Raw genomic sequence first — 27,364 nt, forward strand, 5'->3', positions numbered from 1 at the left:
TATAGACTACATATACATCACACACACACACACACACACACACACACACACACACACACACACACACACAGAGTTCTTAGACAATTTAGGCATTGAAAAAGAACTGAACTTAGTATTCTGAAATGTTTGTTTGAACATTAATAATGTAAACATTTTAGAAGCTGTTGGATAGTAGTTTTTACTAGATTTCTTCTATGGACATAATTCTGAAACATCATTATACACTAAACATAGAACCATATTTGTCAGTTTATAGCCCTGTAGCTTAGTTAAGGGGCAAACCACATTCCCTCTAAAGAGGTCACGCAGTCACATTTCCATTTGTTGTGAGTCTTCCCATTCACCCACGCACAGAATTTAAAAATGGGGAACCACAGCAACTATTTTGGCGGAGGGAGGCTGAAGGACAATAATCAGTGTACACATGCTGCCATTTTTTCCTTGTAGTTTAGAAACTCTGAATTAGTGTAGGAATTATTTTTTTTAAGTCAACAAACATTTGCAGAGTGCTACTTGGTGGCCAACACTCAGTGCCAGTGAATTCTAGGGTATGGTTCTTGCCCTTACAAGGCTCATAGGCTTTACAGGTAAACGTGCGTCACAGGGGTTCATTGTACTGATTATTTCATCACTCAGGTGTTAAGCTTAATATCCATTATTTTTCCTGATCCTTTCCTTCTTCGCACCCTCCACCCTCCAATAGGCCCCAGTGTATGTTGTTCCCTTCTATGTGTCCACATGTTCTCATCGTTTAGCTACTACTTGTAAGTGAGAACATGCAGTATTTGGTTTTCTGTTCCTGTGTTAGTTTGCTAAGGGTAATGGCCTCCAGCTCCAGCCATGTCCCAGCAAAGGACATGATCTCATTTATTTTATAGCTGCATAGTATTCCATGGTGTATATGTACCACATTTTCTTTATCCAGTCTATCACTGATGGTCATTTGGGTTGATTCCAAATACCCATAAAGAAATACATGAATGATAAAGAAAATGATTCTTTGCTATTGTGAATAGTGCTGCAATGAACATGCACGTGCATGTGTCTTTATAATAGAATGATTTATATTCCTTTGGGTATATACCCAGCAATGGGATTGCTGGATTGAATGGTACTTCTGTCTTTAGGTCTTTGAGGAATTGCCACACTGTCTTCTACAAAGGCTGAACTAATTTACACTCCCACCAACAATGTATAAGCATTCCTTTTTCTCCACAACCTCACCAGCATCTGTTATTTTTGACTTTTTAATAATAGCAATCTGATGGTGTGAGATAATATCTCTTGTGGTTTTGATTTGCATTTCTCTAATGATCAGTGATGTTGAGCTTTTTTTCGTGATTGTTGGCTGCATGTACGTCTTCTTTTGAAAAGTGTCTGTTCATGTCATTTGCCCACTTTTTTATCGTTTTTTTTCCTTGTAAATTTGTATGTTTCTTATAGATGCTCCATATTAGACCTTTGTTGGATGCACAGTTTGCAAAAATTTTCTCCCATTCTGTAGGCTGTTTACTCAAAAGAAACATGATAGTTTCTTTTGCTGTGCAGAAGCTCTTTAGTTTAGTTAACTTCCGTTTGTCCATTTTTGCTTCTGTTGCAATTGCTTTTGGAGTCTTTGTCATGAAATCTTTGCCTGTGCCTATGTCCTGAAAGGTATTGCCTAGGTTGTCTTTGTGGGTTTTTATAGTTTTGGGTTTTACATTTAAGTCTTTAATTCACCTTGAGATAATTTTTGTATATAAGGAAGGGGTCCAGTTTCAATCTTCTGCATATGGCTAGCCAGTTATCCCAGCACTGTTTATTGAATAGGGAATCCTTTCCTTATTGTTTGTTTTTGTTAGGTTTGTTAAAAATCAGACAGTTGTAGGTGTGCGGTTTTATTTCTGGGCTCTCTATTCTGTTCCATTGGTCTATGTGTCTGTTTTTGTACCAGTGCCATGATGTTTTGGTTACCGTAGCCCTGTAGTATAGTTTGAAGTTGGGTAGCATGATGCCTCCAGCTTTGTTCAAAAAGAAATATTTAATTCAGCATTTACAAAGCTGAATGACTTTCTCCCCCTCACATAACATCTATTAACATTCTACAGAATTAGTGATCCTTGGAAAACGAGTTGAAAAGCACTACTCTATGACAACGTATGGGGTTGAGCACAAATAATCTAAAATAAAATTTGAAATATATGTATGCATGTAATTTAGTAAGAAAAATAAGAGCTAGTATATCTTGCTTTAAGCAAGCAAAATATATGAAAACCTGGTTTTGCATTAAAAATGAAAGTAAAAGTTAAGAATCCTTCAGGGCTTTGGTATAACCATTATGGGAGTCAATTACCACTATATATTATTACAGATGTAGATGGTGAGGACATCTTGCTATATATCTGTATTAACTATACTATTTTTATTAGTTCAGATATGCTCACATTCAGGTAGTGGCTTTTCTGAATAAATATCTTATTTACTTTCAATTACTTTTTCACGATAAAAGTAGAGTGCAGAACAAATTCTAATTACTTATACTTTCTGGCTGTCTGTACAGCAAATGAGAAGACATTTATTGTAGTATAATGTTGAAGTTCATCAATAATTACTGGGCAATCAACCTACCAAGACAGAAGCTGAGACTATAAAGACAAATAACATATCATGTCTGTCCTGGAAGAGTTCATAGTCAAGCTAGGCAAATGTAAAAAGAAATAACTGTAATACTGTGTGGCTGGAAGTATAATAAGGCATTGAGAAAGTGCTACAGAAACACAGATGACTTCATTAAACAGAATGGGTGATTTATTGCTCCTACAATGAAGTACACACACAATGTCTATGTACAATAAAAATATGACTGCAATCAAGAAACTAATATTTATTGAGCACCTATTACATATTGTAAATGTGCATGCCAGAATTTCTTAATTATCAAATCACTGTTAGTTTCATAGAATTTCATATTGTTCTCAAAAGGAATATAAAATATTTCTTAGATTTTTGGGCAATTTTATTATTCAGAATCAGAGGGAGCCAAACAAAAGTTTAATTTTACATTTTAGAAAAAAGTCTAAGGCAATACCATCATATGCAAGCAATCCCTCAGATTGGTAATCAGAACTATATAGATTACACGTGCTTTCATTTCACAGTTAGAGCCAGCAGAGGGAGTAAACCTCTTCAAAGAAAAGACTGAAGTATATATGGAGAAATGTAAGACTTCAGATGTAAAGAATGCCTTTGATAAAAAAGAAAATTTGAGTACTGAGACACAGATGTCAAATACAGGGAAGTACTTTAACTGTACTTTTAAAACTCATTAAATGTAAGCGTAAAAGCAAGAGCAACCACTGAGTAAACTGAAGGATGCCATCTTATTGCTTTAAAGAGACCCACAGGACTGAAAAGTATTAACTTTCCCATATGAAAGCCCTGTAGGCTGGGCGCGGTGGCTCACGCTGGTAATCCCAGCACTTTGGGAGGCCGAGGTGGGCGGATCATCTGAAGTCAGGAGTTCAAAACCAGCCTGACCAACATGGGGAAACTCCATCTCTATTAAAATACAAAATTAGCCAGGCATGGTGGCACATGCCTGTAATCCCAGTTATTTGGGAGGCTGAGGCAGGAGAATTGCTTGAACCCAGGAGGCAGAGGTTGTGGTGAGTCGAGATCACACCATTGCACTCCAGCCTGAACAAGAGTGAAACTCCGTCTCAAAAAAGAAAGAAAGAAAGAAAGAAAGTTCTGTAAAATGTGTTCTGTAGCAAAATCTGACTGATTGGCATTAACAGGAAGGAATTTCAATAGTCCATGTGCTAATTAGCAAGAGCTACTATCTGATGAGTGCCTGTTTTACTCCAAAGATAAGTCCATATACACCAATCACAGTACCTTGCTGCCTGAATTTCTAAGGCTATGAAACTGCTACCTATGAAGAGTATGAAAATTATCTTGGGCTGGGCACAGCGGCTCATGCCTGTAATCCAGCACTTTGGGAGGCCGAGGTGGGCAGACTGCTTGAGCCCAGGAGTTCGAGACCAGCCTGGGCAACATGGCAAAACCCTGCCTCTACTAAAAATACAAAAAATTAGCTGGGTGTGGTGGTGCGTGCCCGTGGTCCCGGCTACTCTGGAGGCTGAGGTGGGAAAATCACCTGAGCCTGTGAAGTCGAGGCTGTAGTGAGCCGTGATCATCATGCCACTGCACTCCAGCCTGAATTATGGAGTAAGACTGTGTCTCAAAAATAAAAAACAAAAAACAAAAACAACTACCTTAGGAACACAAATTCCTTGTGAATATTACAATAAATTCATTTTTTAACAGAACTACACAGGACTAAGCCTTTCTTTGATTTTCCTCGTGTAGAAGAAAAAATTGAGAGAGAAAAATTTTCTGAATGAAAACCAAGTATTTTTACTCACTTTCATCTCTGGTACATCCACAATATTTTTTCATCTTTGCTCTTCACGGGGTACTTCTTGTACCCTTCTCAGTTGGTATTTTTACCATATTTGGTTCACCTACCAAACAAACTATAAACATAATCTGCATAGTGGAAAATTATTAATAGGAATGTCTGTTTTGCACAGGCCCAAACTCTCTTTTTTGCAGGTTACTATTTTCCCTGTCTTTTGTTTACCTGTGAACCTATAACATGTATAAATAGGAGGTATTTGTTTTTCTTACCTGGGTTAAGAGAAAGAGATACAAGTAGAGAAAGAAATGGGGGTGCCTAGGCTTGAGAATAACTGGATATGGGCTGAGTTCACAGAGAAACCCTGATCAGCACTCCCTCCCAGCCCTATGTGATCCTGTCTCATATGCCACAAGTTCTTTCAAAAGCTCTATTACCTAGTAGCAAAGTGGGCTGGCGTGATCTAGAAGGTGACTCTCAGGACCAACTGGTAGGTTTATTTTTCCATTTTATTATCTGTTTTCTAATTTATTCATTTATGCTTTAAACTTTTCCTGCATCCTAGTTTATACAGGTATATTCTAATTAATTCATCATTATATACTTTAACATGTTTTAATTTTTCATAATGAGTAATATGTAAATACAATCGATGCTTGTTGAAAAGAATTCTTTTTCTTTTGTGCTACTTGGATTGAAGGCTTTTACATTTACAGTCAATCTTTCTTTTCCAGTCATAAAAGCAGTTAGTGCTATGAATTAGCCTCTGTGAATAGCTTTGGTCATATTGTCAGCTTTGATGTAGAGTTCACTGTTGTCATGTGAAGTCACTGTTACACATTAAATAGGCAAGAGAAAAGGGGGATTTTACAGATTGTGAGAAGTTTATAGTGAAATTGGAGTATGGCAAGTTGATAAGCTGAATGGTTGAAATGTCAGTTACCAGGTACCCTTGGGAATAAGTAAAGACCAAGACCCCATGTTGCCTCATGCTCAGTGTACAAAACGTCTGTTCATAATCATTTATGTGGTCATCTACTTGCTGAAGATGATCTAAATATCGGCCATTTATTAGTCTCATCTTTAGTCATCTGTGAACACCACACAGTATAGGGGGTATGTGACTAGATGGACTAAGGGAAAGAGTCCTTGATTGAGATTTTGAAATCTGAGTTTTTGTTCCAGATATACTCTGGATATTAGTTTTAAATAAATATTTATATCCAGATATACCTCTGGATATTAGTTATAAATAACCTTTGTATATTTATTACTTTGCAAAAAAGTAATTTTATATTGTTAGGCCCTAGTTTCTCAACTACAAAATCAAGAAGTCACATTTGATTATTTCTAAAGTCTTTCCAACTCCAGAATCCTATAATTAGAATAAATAAATTCTACATGCTCAGTGACACCATCTGAACATTGCACTGTGTACCAATACATCCAGGTCAGTGATGCTGTTCACAGAAACTTGACATTTACAGAAATCAAACTTTAACCAAGAGGAAAACTGAAAGAACATTAATAATTACTCAATATAATTTGTGATTCCATAAAGCAAAATTGGAATTCCAGAAGAGCCTGTGAAGAACCTTTAAGAGTTATTTAGCCTGAGTGGCAAAAGGCAAAGCCACATATCACTTATCAATGTAGCTACAGGCTAGAGAACAATCATGTCTGCATGTCATGTAACATGGGAGAGGCTGTTGTCTGTCTCGTGTTCTTTTCAGAATCAAGCATCATTGTTCAAACAGAAATGTGTAGTGATTGCGCTTCATTAGGTAAGCATCCAAATTTATTACAAAATATGCTCAGAGTGGCCATTTCAGAAGACATGTCTGTCTCTGAAATAGAAAATTATATATATATAAAAAGACCACAGCAAAAAGGAATGACATGGGATATAATTTTTCTGTTCCTACCTATTGAAATATATCTCTGGTTCGTGTCTTTAGAAATTACCAAAGAGAAAAAGATGATCTCAAATGACTGAAATTACTTATAGACAGAAGGATATTAACCTCCTACGACATATTAAAAAGTTTGGGAGGGAGAAATTTAAGCTACACATGATATCTCTGGAAATTCCATTCTGTTTCATGCAAATGATCAGTGAAAGTTATAATGATACAAAGTTATGTCAATAATAGACTTTTAAAGAACCAGGTATAAATGGCAGTGTAAATATACAAATCATCTTGGTTTCTTTTAAATATTACCAAACAAATATGATCCTAGGACTAAGGCAGAAATTAGGGGGAAAAAGTCTCATAGCTTCTTTGTTGGTGATTAAGGGACCCTGAGGTAAAAAAAAAAAAAAGAAAGAAAGAAAGAAAGAAAAAAACCAACAAAAATCAAGAAGCAATGCTCAAGGTAATAAGTGCTTTCATGTTTCCAGTTCTCATATCTGAGGGCACTGGATCAAGCTAAAGGACAAAGAGATAAGGACAATATTGCAAGTTACAAACAAATGGCAGATAAAAGAGCTCTTCTGGGTTCTGATTAAGTGACAGCATTCTACACATTCTTTTGACTTGAGAAAGTCAGACTAAGAGCAGCGGCTAAGTTCCATGTGAAGCCCCGCTAAATAAGCGTATCTGCATGCTTTCACATTCTGGCAGGACAGGATTCCTCCCCTTTCATTGAACAGAGACATGTTCTCTGGGCTCACAGCAATAATGCGCCTCTGCTTCAACTTCCATAAAAAAGCATAAATGTATATGCTGAAAGCACAGAGAAGTTTTGTGCTTTGGGACGAGGTGGCTGGGAGCCAATGTTTACAATCCCCTGGGTGGGGAAGGCAGGCTGAAAGGCTCAGGACGGCAGGCTTTAAAAGTCTTTGCTGTTGCCGCCAGTGACCTTCGCCTCTGTTTTCAAAGCAGCTCTCACGTTAACCCCTTGGATTCTGTGTGCACTGGAGCTGCACAAAGGAAATACCTTTCTTTGAAGGACACCTCTCTCACGCACATCGGTTTCTGATTTCAGTTGGAGCAGCTCAGAAACACTGGATTAAGAAAGAAGCATGTATTCAATCTGCTGTCAGACCCACGGACATGTCAGCGGTATTGGATCTGGGTTTCGGAGTGTGCTCTGTTGTACAAAGTGAAAGTTTCCAGCTTTAGGCAATGGACTCAAGGTTATAAACCAGGGGATTGTGAAACATGAGCATATTTGGTCTCCAGGGGAGAAGGAAGCATCCAATTTATGCAGAAATGCTCTTTTCCCAGCTAGCCAATGAGAGGCGAGGCTACAAGAGTGGGCTTCCTATTGGGATCTCCTGACTAGAAGAATGGTGCTTAAAATTAAAGACAGGCTAAATTGCTAACAGGCCAACTTAAAAAGCAGCTGAAGAGAAAACACCAATTGTAAAAATGAAAAGGGAGTTTTCCCGTTATGAAATCAAAGCTGACCACATTTAGCTTATTATTATATGTTGTTGTTTCACGGGGAAAGAATTAATAATCTTTTATTCTTAATGCTAAGAAGATCCTACAAAATCTTACCATATATGTGTATTTTTTTAATAGTCTTTACTAAGTTACTCAAATGATGATATTCAAGAGTGGTATTATTTAAGGCCTCAAAATGTTTTCAGGACACAAGATTTACTTTGAAAAAACTGGTTTGATATGTCAGGGACCAGATCAAATGATTTACTTTGAAAAAACTGGTTCGATATGTCAGGGACTAGAACAAACGCTTTGGTCTATGAGAAATTTTGTGGATTTAAAGATGTTTGTCATCTAAACATTGATCATCATGGACAGTGTCACCCCTTTATTGAATGGACAGCATATGGAATCCTGGGGTCATGAATTGTGCAATTCTAATATTCAGAGTCTATGAACTCCTAACACATTTCCTGTCTTCAAGAGGATTAAGATTTCTGGAGAAGAAAATGAAAAGCAACATACACCAGAAAATTTAACCGATTCGCAAAAAAGTCATTAAGTCTTACTAAAATCATCCAATCAAATATGAGACAGGAATGAGAGAGAGAATTTTCTCTTCACATTTGGAGATGAAGCCTGGCCTCTACGTTACCAGGCAGCCATCTATAATGTCACAAAGTACATGTATACTATAGCTGGAAGTCATCTTAGGAATATTTGAGAGAACTGTTTTTCAGGACTAATAATTGGCTCTTAATAAGTGCTTCGGAAGACAGTTAATAACATTTCAGCTTCTCGAAGAATGCTTAATAGTAATCATAACTATCGGCCTGGCTTTCATTACAGACCAAACAACCTGTTCCTTGTTATCTATTGTGGAAGTCAATGGTGATTAAGTAAATATATTTTACTCTAATGCAGAAACTGACTAGAAGGAATGTTTTGAGAAGCTCAAAGAAACCCCAGAGCTGCACAACAGAGAAGACATAGCCAAAGAAAAACAGTCGAAGTTTATCAAGAGTCTTCCGTACGCCTGGCACTTCACTAAGGACTTCACACATTTTATGTTACTTAAACATAAAAACTTGTGAGATAGGCACATAATTTTTTACCCATATTTTAGGTAAGATACTGATATTCAAACATGTTAATAACTACAGTAGTCCCACAACTAGCCACTTGTCAGAGATACAATCCAAACCCAGGTCTAACTCCAGAGTCTGCAAGTAACCACTGAGTATGACAACCATGCAGGCAGACAGCCCTCTACCACTGCAGAGAAGCCCCCGGGAAACATATTTCACAGCTCTAACCAATTGGTGTACATTGCAATTACTATTTTATTGGGGACTCCAAGGCATGTCAATCTTTTAAGAAGGAGGCTGTGTTCAGTTGGAGATTTTTCATCGTATTACTGAATTAAAAGTCACATATGACTTCTATCAGAGGTGAAGAAGCTGCAATACTTGGTTTCTGCAATAGATTTACTAACATTTATATATTAATTTCACATTTTAAATGGAATCTAAAAGTAGCAGATGAAATTATGCTATCACAAATTTTCATGTTTTACAAGCCAGTTGGAAAATGTTTTATTCACAGGCTACAGGATCCATATTCTCATCATTCCCAGTCTGGGCCCCTCACTCCTACCCAAAGCTTTTAAGATGTTGTTTCTTATTTGTCTCCATAAATGAATCTTGTCTTAAAAAAAAAACTGCTGTGAAATCAAAGAAAATAATTGTTGCCATCTTTTACAGTAATGACATGTCACTTAAAAAGTTTTCAGCTTAGACTCCGTTTTCTGAAGCAGCTTCTATGAACTAATAACCTAACAGCTCTCCATGAACTTTAATTATTGCAATAGAATTATTAGGCACCACCAGTTACAACTGAACTCCTCCACACACAGTATAAAGTTAAAACTGTACAAATGAAGCCAAAATATGCACAGCTAAAAGGAATGTTACAGGGGGGCCTCTCTTAGCGAACAAAGCAAGCTCAGTTTGGCTCTTTTTCCCTCGCGCTACCACATCCGCACATCGTTAGCTGGAAAATTCCTGATATATGCTGTAATTTTTTGTGCTTTTTTTTCCCCCAGTACACTTGAGGCTTTAATGTCCAGATGCCATTTTCCCCCTTATCTGTCCCTGTTTGGGGTTCTGCCAGCTATGGTCAACAATTAATACAGCCGAAGAAAAAATACAGTACGCTCCCTGGCAACTGGTACAGCCTTGCAGGAAATACCAAATAAAAACTTGATTATGTATTGTTTAACCATTTTGTTTGCCTGTAGGCCACCCTGTCGTCGGTGTAATTCAGACGAGCATGCTTCATCTGGACGGTCTGTGCACTGCACCATTGTTCCCAGAGTCTGTCACGCACAATCACTGGCTTCAGCCTGTGGCCCTCTAAATGAAAGGAGCAGATTTGTGGCAGCTTTCCAACCTGCATTCCTTTTAATTAGTCAACTTGTGGCCCAATGTTATAATAGATAAGTAACCTCTTAATATTCATGTAATTAATTTATTTTTTTCTCATTCAGTTATAAGCCTTTGCATGGTGGAAAAAAGGCTTTTTCCTATATGGGCTCTGGCTTATGAAATAAGCATGCTACTATTATAAAGAACATCAGAGACCATGTCTCAATGATTCTCCAGGAGGACAATTCCAGAAACCACAGTATGCCCATAACTATATTTTAAGCATATTATTTTTGCATTTAAAATAGTAACTGATATCTTCCTTTTGCATGAATTTGATGTATGTAAGATGAATCATCTTGCCAACTTCAACTGGGCTGATAAATTTTAACTAATAACTTAGTTCACTATCAGAGAGACAGAAAGCTTTCACATTTTAGGATCCCTTTTAAAGCAAGGCTGACATGAAAAGTGGCCAGGAGTTCCCAAAGTACTAGGAAGTCCTCTACTCTAGACCTCGATTAAGTCAATAATTAAACTGCTGATGCTGTTAGCTATTAGCACATGATGAACCTTTAAAAAGATAAGTTGATTTCTATAAATACTAATAATGCCTCTTGGTAACAGGAATCAGAATGGCTTCTAAAAGCTCCATATTTAAGTTCTTTCAACTATTTACATTTTTCTACTAAACCAAATTCTCCTCAAAGGCAGTAACATCATTTTTACTTATTTCATGTCCTCATGGACAATACACATGGTGGGTGAAATACAGATATATCTGTACTACTCTCACATATTCTTAGTAGCACTTCTCATGAGATTTATGAGACATTTACAATGTCACATCAACAATTAATTCATTCATTCATACATATACAAATGTGCCTACTAGGTGACAAGCATTGGATCTCAGTTGCAAAGATGACACACAGATGATGAAGTCATCATATCTGTTCTCAAAAGCTCACAGCTGAGCAGAGGAGGCAGACATGTAACTTACCAATTGCACAAGCTCTGTGCGAGGTAGACGTAAATAATTTAAAAGCCTGGATTCAAATCCTGTCTCCTCTTTTATGAGCTACATCACCTTGGCTAAATAGCTTAACCTCTCCATGCCTCTGTTTCCTCACCTGCAAGATGGAGAATCATAGTACCTGCTTAATAGGGCAACTGGAGAATTATATGGATAAGGTACATAAAGTACTCTGCAGGTGCCTGGCTCTATAAACTTTAGCTATCAGCAAATGTTATATACACATCAACTCCACAGGGGTGAGGCGGGGTGCAGGATAGGGGTATCTAGTGTTAGAGGCTTCAGCGAGGAGGGGCAAGGGCATGACTGGTAGAGAGAGCAACATGAGCAAAAGTTGAGGAGTATGAAACTGCATGGACCAGATAACAGGACCCCAAGTGTTACTTGACAGAGCTAGGACTTTATCCTGAGGAGAAGGGGAGGTACTAAAGGGTTTTATGCAGGGCGTGTATGTCAGATATGCATTATTCTACATTTGCATTCTGGTAACTGTGTAGGATTGAAATTGGAGATGATCCTGAAGGCAGGGATCTCAATGAAAAGGCTGCAATGATCCAGATGCTCTGGGAGGAAGATGTATAAAACCACAGCAGTAGGAGAGGAAAGGCAGGAAGAATAACTTTAAACGAGTCAAATGAAGGAGAAAGAAAGATTAACTGAATCTAGGATAAGTCCCAGGTTTCTGGCCTGGGTGGCCAGGTAGATGGTGAGGCCATCAGCCTGAATAGGGACCCAGAAGGGAATGACTGGAAGGCTTGCTACTTAGGATGATATTCAGAAAGATATTTGGGTCTGGGGCTCAAGGGAGTGGACCGAGTTGGACATACATGAGTTCCCTGCCTCCAGGATTACCTCCACAGCGGAGGAGACTGTTGAAGGAGATAGCATGTACAGGCTATGTGCCATAGGGCAGGACCTTTGAGGAAGGCAGAGGTGGGCAATCAGTGGAGAGGAGTGAGAGACGTGGAAGGAAAAGCAGGATACCACGATGTCACAGAAGTCAAGGTGGATATTTACAAGAAATAACGAATAGAGAAGCATGCATGTACCCGAAGATGCCAAACAAGGTGAGGTCTTTAGAATATCCACTGCGGTAACATGATGGCAGCAGAAGGCTGCCTGCACAAAATTGAAGGGTTAATGACATCCAGAGTGAAGTCCTTAGTTACAGAAGAAAAGAGGCAGACGACAGAGACAACTGAAGCTGCTCTCTCTGCCTACCATGCCTTTCCCACTTGCCTCTAACTCTGCCCAGAACCTCTGGCCCCTTTAAGGCTTCTTTGGAAAATAGTGGGTACAGACTGTGCTTGAAGGCATGGGGGCAGCAAAGACATGATGGAACCAGGATCCGGAGAGGATCAAAGTGGATGGGATCAAGCGCCCAGGTAGTGAGATTAGAAGAGCACTGACTCCAAGGCTACAGACTCAGAAGTGAAGATGAGCACAGAAAAATATAGATTAATTTGCAAGTATATGTTGTAGAGATGCACTGATGGAATTCACATTCAAAGGTTTATTCACTTGATTAAAATACAAACAATATTATCATTAACAGGGGCAATCTCTGGTTTGTGAAGTCTAAAGCTTACACACTTTTTTTTTTTTTTGAGACGGAGTCTCGCTCTGTCGCCCAGGCTGGAGTGTAGTGGTGCGATCTCCACTCACTGCAAGCTCCGCCTCCCGGGTTCAGGCCATTCTCCTGCCTCAGCCTCCCGAGTAGCTGGGACTACAGGCGCCTGCAACCACACCCGGCTAATTTTTTGTATTTTTAGTAGAGACAGGATTTCACCGTGTTAGCCAGGACGGTCTCGATCTCCTAACCTTGTGATCCGCCCGCCTGGGCCTCCCAAAGTGCTGGGATTACAGGTGTGAGCCACCGCGCCCAGCCAAAAAAAATATGGAATGCTTCACGAATTTGCGTGTCATCCTTGCGCAGGGGCCATGCTAATCTTCTCTGTATCGTTCTAATTTTAGTACATGTGCTGCCGAAGCGAGCACCTCACACACTTTTAAAAAGCTGACAAATACCACAAAATGCAGAAATAAAATCACAATATTTTGATTAATAAACGGACACCTCCACTAGGAAACTCACTTGCCCTGTGTTATTTTTGAGCACATACTCGTTGACTGTCTTTCATCTGACAGCAATTTTTGAAATATTTTCTACAGGAAGATAACATGGTTGATCAAAGATTATTTTTATCAACAGCTGTGATGCAGAAAACATGTCACTTCACATGTGATCACTGTTGGTGGTAGTGCTACAGGTTTTAGCCATAATCAAATAGAATATTGATAAAATCTATTTTGGCTGATTCTTATAAGGCTGATTCTTTCCTTATAGAAGAAAAATTGCATGGTTATTTCTATCATTAAATATGTTGCATTATCAAGTATATTCTTTTTTTTTTTTTTTTTTTTTTTTTTTTTTGAGACAGAGTCTTACTCTGTCGCCCAGGCTGGAGTGCAGTGGCATGATCTCGGCTCACTTCAACCTCTGCCTCCTGGGTTCAAGTGATTGTCCTGTCTTAGCCTCCCGAGTAGCTGGGATTACAGGTGTGTACCACCATGCCCAGCTAATTTTTGTATTTTTGGTAAAGACGGGATTTCGCCATGTTGGCCAGGCTGGTCTTGAACTCCTGAGCTCAGATGATCCACCTGCCTCGGCCCCCTAATGTGCTGGGATTACAGGCATGAGCTACCATGGTCAGCCTCAAATATATTTTCTTATTATGAAAAAACTTCCATCTTAACTAGGCATTGATGAGAATAGAAACATTTGCTTTCAAGGTACATGTCTGTTGCCTTGAAGAATTCTCCTCAGACTAGCCTTTGGCTCAGTATGTTTCAAACCTTGTTTCTCCTCCACTACCCACAGACTTTGGTGCCAGAGACCATAGGACATGGTCATATTGTGAAATGACCTCTGAATCCCAGGTAAGTCAGCACAGTGCTGGTGGAAGTGAATTCCTGGAGGCCATTTCTACACGGGGGTAGCCAGGCATAACTATGTTAAGGGGTTTCTCAATCTGGGCACTTTTGGCATTTGGAGCCAGGCAATTCTCTACTGCAGGGGGCTGTCCTGTGTATTGTAGGATGTTTAATGGTATCCCTAGGCTTCCATCCACTGGATGTCAGTAGCAACATCCCTCTCCCCCATATTGTAACAACCCAAAATGTCTCCAGGCATCGATGAGTGTCCCCTGGGGGATAAAATCATCCCTAATCGAGACCCACTGATATATATGTAACCAGTGAACCCCATATAGAGCTTATAAAACCCAAATGAACTCAACATCCCCTTAGCCAGATCTCAAAAATGCCCATGGTCACTCCATTGCCACCTGACACGAGAACTGTGATGGGTGAGGTGGAAGGTTAATCAGCTGCATTTAAAATAGCTCACCTCCACAATTAAAAAAAAAAACACCAGATGACCATATTGCTAGAGCCTCTCCCATAACCTTGGTATGCGATGGGAGCTGAAAGTGAGGAGCTCTGAAGCTTAAAACTCATTAGACACAGATAAATCCACTTCTGATCATAATTTTAGTCATAAGCAATGACATATTTTTAAAAATTCTCTTTTTATACTGCATAACTAATGATATGACATGTTTCATACACATACTGCAAATCTCAAGATAGGTAAAAATACATTTCAAATGACCTCATTAATCATTATAATATGACCTATGGTTAAGTAAAGCACAAAACAAGTATTCTCAATTCTCTAGATAAACATCACATGTTTTATGACATGAATGTGTTATATAAAAGAATATCTGTGTGTTATGTATGCAAGCAACTAAAATTTTAACATTTCATTTATCTGGTAAGATGAATGAAGACTTAGATGTAACTAGATTTCCTGGATTACTTACATTTCTCTTTGTAAGCTCTGCAAGTGTATTATTTTAATCACTTGAATTTTTTCTTGCTTGTGTCTTATTATCAATTGCCTTTTTCCTGCTGTTATGATCCCTATGTTTATCAGCCTAACTCCTTTTCTAGTTTCTGCTTCTAATATGGACCTATTACACTTCAAAATGAATTCAAACACATTTATCAGGTCCCCCACAGAGGGGCCTCAGACTACCTCCCTGATCTCAGCCCTGACCTCTCTCCTTCCTACTTACTCTGCCTCAGCTGCACTGACCTTCTTGCTTTCCTTGGACAGACCAAACTCCCTCCTACCTTGGGGCCTCTGAATTCACTGCTCCCTGTGACTAGAATGCTCTCCTGAATCTTAGGATGCTCTGTCCCTATCTCCTACGCAAAAGACCTTCTTTGACCACCCTCCCCCTCTAAAATAGATTCCCGGTGTATCGCACTCTATTGCACTGCTGGGCCCCAGAGATTTTATCTAATATATTAATTTGTTTATCATACACCTTCCTGACAAGAATGAGGGGAGATTTTATATATATCATTAATTTCTACACTCTCAGCTCAGTGACTGGCCAGCAGAAACTATAGCAAAACTTGAAGAAATTTTAAATAAGAGTATGGATCTAAATAAGAACTCAAGAGGTAGACATAAGGCTTTAATGATGTGATAGCTACTTGGGTGCTCAGAGCCCTCCTCTCTCTTTTGTTCTTCTGTATTTCTAATTCTATTCCCTTGCTTCTTTACTTCTCTTTACCCCCACAGGCAACCACTATCCTAAGTCTCATGTTTTTCATTTCCTTCCTTAAAAAATGTTAATCTATAAATATACCTAAATAATATTTAGATTTGCTTTATACATATTTCATATGCTTTATAACTTTCTTCATTTTTGTTTTATTCCCCTCAATATTATTGCTAATATTCATCCATGTTATTGCCTGTAGCTATAGCTCATTCATTTTTAAATTTTCACTGCTGTGTAATTCTATTGTGGGAATATACCAGTGTCAATTTAATCATTCCTTTGTATATGAACAGTTGGGTTGTTTGGAGTGTTGGTATTACAAACAATGCTGCAGAGTATTCCTGAATATGACTCTTGGTACACATGTGCAGGAATTTCTCTAAGGTATGTAACTTAAGGCATGGAATTGCAGGGTTTCATGGTATAAGCATGTTAAACTGTATAGTTAATACCAAATTATTTTCTAAAGTAGAGTATCATTTTATGTTCCCTTCAACAGAGGATCAGTTTTAGGTGTTTCTTGAAAAAGCAAAGACTTGGTTTTAGAGAAATATTTTAAAAATCTAATCTAACATTCTTTGCCATCGAACTGGTGAGTTTTGTCCATTTACATTTACTGTGATTAAGAATCTGTTTGGACATTTTTACCAATCTATGTACTCGACATTCTTTCTTGCATCTCGGGCATTCCTTTTGAGATTATTTTCTTTCTTTTTGAAGTACATCCTTTAGAAAATTCTTGGTAGTGGTAAACTCTCTTGGTTTTTGCTTCTGTGAAAATTTCTTTACCTCATTAGTATACTGTGTACTTAGAATTCCATATATACACAAAATAGTAACAAAATATCCAGAATATCCAAAGTATTTTTACTACGATGTCCTTCAGGCACCAAGAGAGGAAGCATATAACAAGTAGTTGTTCACCAAGTAACCAACCTTCTCCTACGTTTTGGGTCCATGCTAAGGCATGCTTAGCAAACACAAATCATTGTTCCTGGTCTCAAAGAGCTTTGAGCAGCATTAAAAAAACTTGGAAATCACATGAAACCTAAGTAGAGAGTGAAAGGTTTCATGTAAAGGATGAATTGGGTGGCTTAAGAAGTGCTGTGGGCATTCAGAGCAGGAAGCATCCAAAGAAAGGTGGATCCCAGTCAGGTCATGTTGCAGAAGCTCCTGAATTATGTTTCTACACAACACTACTTATGTGGCCAAACCACACCTTTACCTTGAATCTGAAAAAAGCCAGGGTACGTTTTCTTTGGAGATGGTACTGTGGCTTAACTGAATCCTGAATTGGGCACTAGATAGATAAGAGCAATATTAAGACAAATGTTCTTAAAGACTAAATTAGAGAATAAGCAATTGTATGAAATGCTAAATACAAATTTTCCAGAATTGCAGGTTGAATGTGCTACTCAGTTATTAGTCTAGGTACCAACTCCTTTTCTGAATGGGGGGCATTCCTGCATGGCTTTGTAAAACAAAACAAGACAGTGCAGGTTATACAAGGGCTGGGCTGAAAGCCTCAGGAATTTCTTTTAACTTTCTTGAAAGGTTAATAGCTGAAAGAGTTCTTATATGACACATCTTAAGCAGACTATGTGAAAGAAGTGTATGTTATCTGTGACATTAATTCCTAATCCATAGTACAATGAGTCACTTATTCACTGGAGAATAATCTAACCTATTTGGGAAATGAACCTTTCTGAATATTAACTACCACCTATTCCCAAGAGGAAGTGATCGGTGGAATACAAAATGGCTCAGTACAGAAATAACATTAAAATGCTCATTTTGGCCAGCGTGGTGGCTCACACCTGTAATCCCAGAACTTTGGGAGGCCAAAGTGGGAGGATGGCCTTGAGCCCAGGAGGCTGAGACTGCACAGTGAGCTGTGTTTGTACCACTGCATTCCAGCTTGGACAAAACAGTGAGACCCTGTCTTTTTAAAAAAGCTAATTTTGACTACAGTAGGGAAAGAAATTTACTTTCATAATTAATGAGCTGTTACTTTCCAGTCATCTGCCTTCCACTCTATAGAGATTAAATACACAAAATGTCCTTCGTGAAAAACAATTTTCTTGTCTTTGTAGAATTTGTCCTGTGGGTGGTAAAGAAGAAAAGCACAACCATGAAGGTCTGTGCTCCAGGGCCACAACTCAATTTTTCTGTGCCATCCTCAACTACTTGCCTAGTGGTTGAAAGTAAGCAAGGAACAAAGACTGAAGAAACACCACTGGATTTCTGGGACTCTGAGATCTCACACTGAGATATGGTGCCTGAAAGCAAAGCAATTAATACTGCCTATACAGTCCATTCACAATAACACACTGATTCATTCTTAGATTCTCAGTGAAAATTCTGCAACTGTCTGGATTTGTGCATTCAATTTCCTGTATTCGAAGAATAGATACGTGTGTAGCCTTGGAAAAAATACATTTTATTTTTCCCCAGACTTCAACATTGTTTAAATAACTGATAATGGAAAGATTTCTTCAGCATAATCATTTCAGGAATACCAGAAACACTCTCTCTTTTGAGAAATAATAATGAAAAAAGAGAGAATGGTCTCCCTAAGATGTTAGTAATCTAAACTTTAGTAAAAGTGATTTCTAAGTAACTGATTAACAGTAATAAAATGGTTTCATTGGTTTATATTCATTTCTTTACCTGTCTTCATATTCAGGTTCAAAGATGAGTATTACTATTACATAATTTAATTATAGGACTTCACTTTTTCATGTATTAACTCATTTAATTCCCACAACAATCCTATTAAGATAGGTACTGTCATTTTCTCTATTTTAGCAGAGAAGAAACCCAGGATACAGAGAGGCTAAAGAACTTATTTAAGGTCACACAGCTTGTTAAGTTGCAAAATAACTTTGTATAAAAGATCTGGTTCCAGAATACGTCCCTTTAACCATGTACTGTGGTATTATACTGTGTATAATAGCCGTTATACTGCTTTTTGAAGGAAGCAATGTTTTTCAAAAAAATTATCTCTTTGCCTATATTTGAAAATGGTAGGAGAGAAAAAGTAATATTCCAGGAACACTTGAATCAATTCAAGACTTCAGAAACAATGTTGCCAAGAAGGAAGTGAGAAACAAGGGAAGAAATTCTAAAACAACATCAATGGAGTCACTGTTTAAAGAAAAGAAAGGACTTATTCTCTTGGAAGGGTGTGAACTATTTATTCACAAATACCTGATGAGATATAGAAAACGTGCGTGCATGCGCACACACACACTCACAGTCTCTTTCTCTCTCACAAGATAAATAAATGTAGTATTAGAAAGAATGCTAGGTATATAATGTTTTAAATTCTGCTGTCTTCCCAGACTCTTCCAACTTAACAATCTCTGGCCTCAAGAACATGACATTATTCTCTTAAGAGAAACAGCCATTATCAAGTGTATGATATTATGGGCAGCAGATGAGCAGATGGAGGAAGACACACAGTGGTGATGATGAAATTTTTAGGCATATTTAGTTGTTTAAAAAATCCTCAAACTGAACAGACTCTTACTGGATTATATCCAATATCTAATTTCTAAACTTGTTATTCTTTAGGAATAGTGAGGGAAGACGGGTGAATGAAGGTAATTAGCCCCAAGGAGAGAAAAATCGAAAAAGGGCTGAAAAAAAATTTGACGCTTTTCTTTACTAATTTACAACTTTCTTTGAAACCCCAGTTTGATTATCTGACTTTTGAAATTGAGAAACTAATCTGTGTTACCATTTTAGAGAAATGAATGGATGAGGTGAACCAAGAATGGAGAATGGAGATAAACCAAGACCACACAAATTTGACTATAATGAGTATATATTACTTTTATAATAGACATAAACAGCTTCAAAGTGCATCATCATTACCAATTGCTATTTGGTGAGCATAATCTATGTGACGCCCGTTTCTTCCCTCAAGGTGCTTGTTGTCTAAGGAAAAAAGTAAATTATGGTATTTTGTGGCTGTTTACATTACATAACCCTCATTAGGGTTTAGTCATATAACGACCACAAGTGAGGTATACAATTTGCCAACTTTAGCAAAATCTGGATTATGTGGAGGAAAAAGGAGAAACAGAAAGATAGGTGGCTAATTAATTAGAACATAACCATGTCACTGGCACTTTAGGCCCAATAAAGTAAAACATCTATCATTTAAGTCCTGATAAAAAGAAATATATTTTTTAAAAGGCTCTGTTTGTAAAAGAAAAAAAAGTCATTTCATGATAGATTCATCTGAATTACAATTGGGATAAACATTAAACCACTAGAAAATTTCTGATTTATACAACTACTAGTGAGATGTCATATAGAGATTCTTCATTATACAATTTGTTCCGTTTTGAATGAAAATGTTAATCATACCAGGAGAAATTACTATACATATTCAATACCACTGCCAGTAAAAATAGTAGTGATTACATCAGTAGTGGCTACTATGTTCTGAGCATGTGTCAGGACACATCCACAACAGTACAGTATGAAGGCAATTATGACCAGAGACACTTATTTGATTTAAATAAATATATTTTTATTTCTTATTTATCTCATAAAGTAAATTTCATATCAGATTTTGACATGAACATGTTTTCCCCGGATCTACATTTAACAGCCTCCAGTTTCTGTCCCATCTCATTCTTGCTCTCACGTAGCCCCTCGTCACACATCTTTCTTAAAACAGCCTCCACGCTGGTTTCCCTGCCATCAATTTCTTAATTCACACCAAATCCTCCCTACCAATCCACTCATCACATTGTAGTAGACTGCTTTTTTTTAGGGTAAAAAAGGTTTTAAAGCACTCTGCTCAACAACCCACATACTTCTTGCTGCTTTGCCGTTGTGTGTGTGAACATGAGCTGATGTTTCTCAACCCCATACCTAGAACACACCTTTCCCTGTGCTTTGCCAGGCAAACTCCTCCTCACTTGTAAGCCTGCCTCAAAAATTAGCTCCCCTGAGAAGCCTTCCCTGACTCTCCTAGATCTAACAATGCTTGTCTCCTAGATTCACCAGGGTTTATCTGGCTAGGTAAGAGTTGTAGAGGCAACTTCAGATTTACATATACATATATGTAACTAAAAAAACATACACATATATACATATATGTATTTTATTTATGCATCCAAATACTGAATATTACTTTTAATCATATGAATATATTAATAACAAACATACTATTTATGTAATATAAATTACGTAAATAATATTAATGAAATTCACATCTTTTTAAAAGTTCTTAGTTTAACATAATTTTTCTTATTGCCTCACTGTTTTTAAAAGCAATCCTTAGCTTCCTGAATTTGCCTGAGAAGAATGTTACCTGCTGATTGCTGATAGATGGCTCATACTCAAAAAGTGTTTGCTGATTGCTATTATTAAGGAATCTAAGGAATCATAGTCCTGGTGGGTGTGGTAAGCAATCATTCTTAGTCTAATCAACATTTCCATGAAACTCTAAAGCTTTCTGCTTTCAACATATGTGGAGCACGTAAGGAAAAATGCACTGTGCTTTATAAAACATTTTATTAGAGATTGGTGAATATATCAGTGCGCCTCTGAAAGAAACCAACAGCAGATGTTCCTACCTATACAGTGGCCCTGCTGCCTTGGTGGGGGTGTATCTCTAGACTAATGAAGGGCCTGTACATTCGTTGTTCACCCAACAGCCATCCCCTGCTTTCCTGGCTAGCATAACCTGATTTTCTTTTGGGTAGCAATATGCTTATCTACAGACTGATTGGTCAATGGGTAGGTACGGGATTCAATTATGAGTGATGAAACCTAAAGTGGAAGTTTGAAAAGAGCTTTTGGAAAAGATTGTCTTCCCTGATTAAAGAGACAATAAAACCCTTTTTGGCCCCTGCTTCCTCACCTACTGCTTAGAATACTGTTGTATGTGATATAATGCTTTTGAAGTTGTGGCAGCCATCTTGAGGCCCTGAGGGATGACACTCTCAACTAACCAAAGAAGAAGGAATGGTATTTTCCCAATATTCGGTTATCGGAACCAAGATGATACCATCAAGCAACAGCACCAATTGCAGAATTACCTATCTCCAGACTTCTTATATCAGATTTAAACGTTATTATTATTCAAGACACTTTGATTGGATATTTTGTACTTGTAACTAAATATATGATGCTATAAATGGGTCCAGAAAAAAATCTGAAGATTCTAGCTTTGGTGATTACCAGTAATGAAGTTAAACAAAGGAGACCAAAGCAGAATTGCCTAGGAAAGGAGAAGCTGATGAGTGATCTTTTTGTTATGATCTGTTTCTACTGCCATGGAACACCAGATGGAGAGGTGGGGAAAAGCAGAGATGAGGGCTGATACTCAGAGGAGACCCGGGCAGACGGATGACTTGGACACCTCTGCACGGAGATGAAAGTTACAGCCATGGACCTGAGTCAGACACAGAAAGGGCTGAAGTCAGAACATGCTGGATGCTTTATTAGAGGACAGGAAGAGCAGAAAGCGCCAGCAAAGGCAATGGCCAGAGGCACTCAGGAGAGACAAAGCAGTGAGCTCTCTCACATTCAGTTAAGGAGTGCAGGAGTAGGAGCTGAAACCCTTTTGGAGAACAATTTGGCATTATCAAATTTTTGAATGTGCATTCTTTGTCCTTTGTCCTGGTAGTACCATTTCTTAAATAATTATCCTAAAAGAAATTAGTATTTCAGTGAAAAAAACATAAGCCCAAAGATGTTCACTGCAGCCAAAAAATGAGAAACCACCCAAGTGTTCATCCTGGGAGACTGGGTAAAAATATTATGTAAATTTACACAGTGAAAGTAAGAAAAAGAATAACAGGCTAATATATGTTAGATATGGACAAAATGCCTAGGATAAATAAATGGAAACAAGTAAACAAGAAATCCCAAACAAACAGAAAACCTGTATGTATACTATTATAGGCACATCCACATCCACCCTCATGCACACCCATACTGAGGGTTGTATACAAGTAGCAAAAAATATAAAAGTTCATTTAACAAACTGTTAATAGTGGCTTTTTTTCTGGAAGGAAGGATCATTGAGGATTTTCCCTTTTCATTTTTTTACCTACCTGGAATGGTCAAATTTTTTTTTTTTTTTTTTTTTTTTTTTTTTTAAGATAGAGTGTCTATCTGTCACCCAGGCTGGAGTGCAGTGGCATGATCTCTCAGCTCACTGCAACCTCTACCTCCTGGGCTCAAGCGATCTTCCCACCTCAGCCTCCCAAGTAGCTGGGACTACAGGCACATACCACCATGCCTGGCTAATTTTTTTATTTTTTGTAGAGACAAGGTTTTATCATGTTGCCCAGGTTGGTCTCAAACTCCTGGGTGCAAGCAATCTGCCCGCCTCAGCCTCCCAAAGTGGTGGAATTACATGCGTTAACCACCACACTGGTGGAATGTTCAAATTTTAAAATAATTTTAGCAATGAACAAAGAATGCAGACAAAAAAACTGAAGAAGGAACCGTGACACTTTGGGAGGCTGAGGCGGGCAGATCACGAGGTCAGGAGATCGAGACCATCTTGGCTAACACGGTGAACCCTTGTCTCTACTAAAAATACAAAAAATTAGCCTCCTACTCAGGAGGCTGAGGCAGGAGAATGCTGTGAACCCGGGAGGCAGAGCTTGCAGTGAGCCGAGAGAGCGCCACTGCAGTCTGGTCTGGGTGAAAGAGCAAGACTCCGTCCCAAAAAAAAAAAAAGAACCATGAGAGTTTAAGGGAGCGGGGACTCGCATATACAAATGCTACAAAGGGAATGTGGAAGAACCTGCAAAAAATGCCACTGGATTTGGTGAACTCTATCTTATAAATGGGGCTATTTCTCTCTAAAAAATTGTCTACTAAGACCAAATTTCTAAAAACAAAATTACTGAGTAAATGCATGTGAATTAAAAATAAAGCAATTGATGAATATCTTATTTTTCTAAAATATTATGGGACTAACAATACTTGAGAACTACAATCGACTATTGAAAAAATTTGATGCCTTTAAAAACAGGAGTACAAAAATTACAAATGATAAGCTGATGGAAAATACAAATTGTACTGTGCATATAGTAGCAGCAACATGACCTTTAAATGCAGTTTTTCAGCCCCACATCCTAAAACCAAGAAGTCGTTATAGAAATAAAGATAGAACAATAAATACAAAGAAAAGATAAAGACAAGATTTTATTTCAACTTGTGTAAAATTGCTGAGGTCACTCTTGAAAGCTTTTCTTACTTTAAATGGACTATTCAATCTTGTCAAAATCTTAAATATTGTGCTACATTTTTAACATCTACTTGCCAATAAAAGGCATGACAGTGGACAGTTTGGGTATAAGAACATGTGAGTTTCTCTCTTCTTTAGACATTAATCCTATGTATGTATGTATGTATGTATGTATGTATGTATGTATGTATGTATTTATTTATTTGAGATGGAGTCTCACTCTGTTGCCCAGGCTGGAGTGATCTTGGCTCACTGCAACCTCCGCCTCCTGGGTTCAAGCGATTCTCCTGCCCCAGCCTGTAGCTGGGACTACAGGAATGCGCCACCACACCTGGCTAATTTTTGTATTTTTTCAGTAGAGACGGGGTTTCACCATATTGGCCAGGCTGCTCTCGAACTCCTGACCTCATGATCTGCCTGCTTCAGCCTCCCAAAGTGCTAGGATTACAGGTGTGAGCCACTGCGCCCGGTTGACATTAACACTTTACAATTCACAATGGGCTATCTGTGGCTTTTCCTAATACAATATTTTTGAATGTATATCAAGTAAAAACTACAGTGGCCAGACAGTATAAGTAGTTTTACATAATATACATAAACCTGTAAAGTCTTTTAAAATGCATCTTAATCTAGTAAATCATATTTTAAATGCATAGGCAGCTTTTGAAAAACTTTGCCAAAGCCCATATGCAAATTACTTGATTTTACATATTTGATTTTTAAAACATTTATGCAGTTTTATTAAAGCTATATTGGTTTTTTGAACCCAAGATTTGGTTTCTATTACAACTCCATTAAAAATGTTCCCTGACTTAAATTAATATTGATAAATTAGTCATTTAACATTAAAAGTGGTTATGATTAGAATGAGTATCACTGATTAAGCTTCCATTTACTCTGTTGCTCTGTACTGAAAGCTGAAGAAATATAACTTTAAATACCAAGTCAATTTGTTTTAAGTCCTCAAAATTTAAAAAAAGTAAAAAAAAAAAAAAAAAAAAAGAACTAGTATCACTGAGATCTTGTGCACTCTTGACAATATCCAACCAGCTGACTAGTCATGCATTTGTGTAAAATGCAGTAACTTTGGTTTTCCAGAATATCTTCTAAATATAAACACAAGATTTTAGCAATGAAAGTGACTAACAAAATAAGTTTAATTCTTGGTGTTTAAATTTCAAGATGGATGCAGATACAAACCACAATGGCACCTTTCAGGGAAGTCAATATTTAAAGAACAGCATCCCTTCCCAACCTCAGTCCTCCTCTACCTCCTCTACTCAGAAACCTCCTATTTTACCACCCACATATACTCTATAAACACTCACTGAGCAGCTACCATGTGCCTGTGTGTTGTTACCTGAAGTGCTGAAATGGCTATTTTGCAATGTTAATCTTTTAAAAATAGAAGACAGAAGTCAAACAAATGGGGATACTACCATATGAGAACTACTATATTACAGGCAAATCAAAAGTGCACGGGAGGGTAGGTACTTAACTTTATCCTGGGGAGTTGGGCAGACTTCAGAGATGGCATCTGAGTCTTGAAGAATGAGTAGGAGATTGTTAGGCTGGGAATGGGAAAGGCAATCTAAGCAGAGAGAATGTTTAGTGACACGGAAGCATAAAATCTAATGGCATGATTTTTCAAGAAGGAGCAAAAAGGTCTGGATAGCAAGATCATAGGGTGTGTGGAGATGGGTTTGGTGTGGGTGGGAAAGCAAGAATGGAGAGAAAGGTTAGGAACAGTTGACTGCTGCATTCCGGAGCTCAGAGTATACAGACTTGAGTGTGTGGGCAATGGGGAGTCACTGGGAATTTTTACTCCTTCACCTCCCCAAACGGGCTTGTTTCCCACAGTGGTCCATGTTGTATGGCTGTTCCCACAGCTCCCTTCTACATGCCAGTCTTGTCTTTCCAGGAAAAAGAAAATCTCCTTTTCTGACTAACTGTAGTCTTGATCTTTCATCCATTCTGCAAAAATGGGATTTTATAGACAGGTAAGGACATTCTCATGAATATATGTGAAGACCATCATTTTAGGAATTTATTTCACATTCTTGATAGTAGCTTTTAAATGCTTTACTTTATAAAAGTTTTACAGTTTTTTTTTTTCTTTTTCTAATCTGCTTTTTCTAAACTAGTAAAAGCTAGTTTTCTGGAACTAGGTTACAGACAGACTTTGGCCCATTTAACAAGGTCAGACTGTTTATTCTTGACAGAATTCTTTCCCACTGTAAAAAGGTACTTTTAAATGCCACATTCCAAAACCAGTGCCAGTAAGCCACTGAAGCATATTTTCCCACAAGAACTGATACCATGTGCAGTCCCTACCTCACTGAAATCATCCAGCGTTACATAAGGTGCAGATAGTATTTAACGTCACCATGAAATCTATCAACTGAAATATGCCAGCCATGTATTTATAAAACACTTCCGTACATTTCAAAGCATTGGTAACATTTAAAAAAGTAATTATTAAAAATCGAAATGGGAAAAAAGAAAGGGAAGGACAGTGCTAGAAATTTTTTAAAAAGAATTTAAGACAGAAGAGGAAAATGAATCTTGTAACTTTATATCAGTATCCAAACCTGAAGTAGTAGAGCTTTTTCTCCCTTATTTTGGGGTTTTTATGGTTGAGCTGTTAAATTTACAGCCCCATTTTTAGATTCTGCCAGCCTTCAAAATAAATATATGAGCAGCGCTAAAGTAAATTCTCCTACGCTTTCCCCTTTTCTCTTTTGGATGTTTCCCTGAGATTTGAAGGTAGATTATTCCTCCACAGCCAACAGTAAAGTTCAACATTCAAATTTATGAAGGATTTAAAAATCATCAGTATCCTTGTAGATAGATGCTGGGTGCAACAATGTCACTCACCCTGGGTTTCAATCCCTAGAGAGGGGGAAAGCAGAAAGCAGGAGCAATAAGAGGAATGGTTCAGCAGCCAAAGACTATCATTTAGAAATGCATTGGGAAGATTAGCAATAAAGTCAATAAATGCATCAGAAAATCCGGCACTACAAAGTAATTGTATAAAAGTCTGAGCTCAACTTTTGGAGAGACCTACACAGATAACAGGATCATAAATTTAATCTTCTCAAGGACCCAAATGGACTAGATAAAATGACTAAGGGAAACTGCAATGCAGAGATTTTCAACCCCTTCTTGGGACACTATGGTTTCTCCAAAGATCCCAAGGGATCTTAGCTTTAAAATAAAAGCATAACATACAGAACATCTA

At 37.8% G+C, this 27,364-nt stretch overlaps 1 protein-coding gene and 1 pseudogene across 3 annotated transcripts in view, besides 1 other annotated feature; both read right to left on the reverse strand.

Moving 5' to 3' along the window:
• Window positions 1–27,364, reverse strand: part of CDK6 (cyclin dependent kinase 6) — a 231,653-nt gene that overhangs the window by 83,643 nt on the left and 120,646 nt on the right. The window lies entirely within an intron of this gene.
• Window positions 6,837–8,036: an enhancer, noted in NCBI's record as "BRD4-independent group 4 enhancer chr7:92324714-92325913 (GRCh37/hg19 assembly coordinates)". NCBI's record gives its function as "activates an origin of replication core promoter dependent on BRD2, P300/CBP, MED14 and CDK7 cofactors, and independent of BRD4, by STARR-seq in HCT116 cells {active_cell/tissue: HCT116}" and the evidence as "EXISTENCE:reporter gene assay evidence [ECO:0000049][PMID:35650434]".
• Window positions 13,146–13,251, reverse strand: RNU6-10P (RNA, U6 small nuclear 10, pseudogene; annotated as a pseudogene).

The sequence above is a fragment of the Homo sapiens genome, chromosome 7, assembly GCF_000001405.40.
Source record: "Homo sapiens chromosome 7, GRCh38.p14 Primary Assembly".
Lineage (NCBI taxonomy): Eukaryota > Metazoa > Chordata > Mammalia > Primates > Hominidae > Homo > Homo sapiens.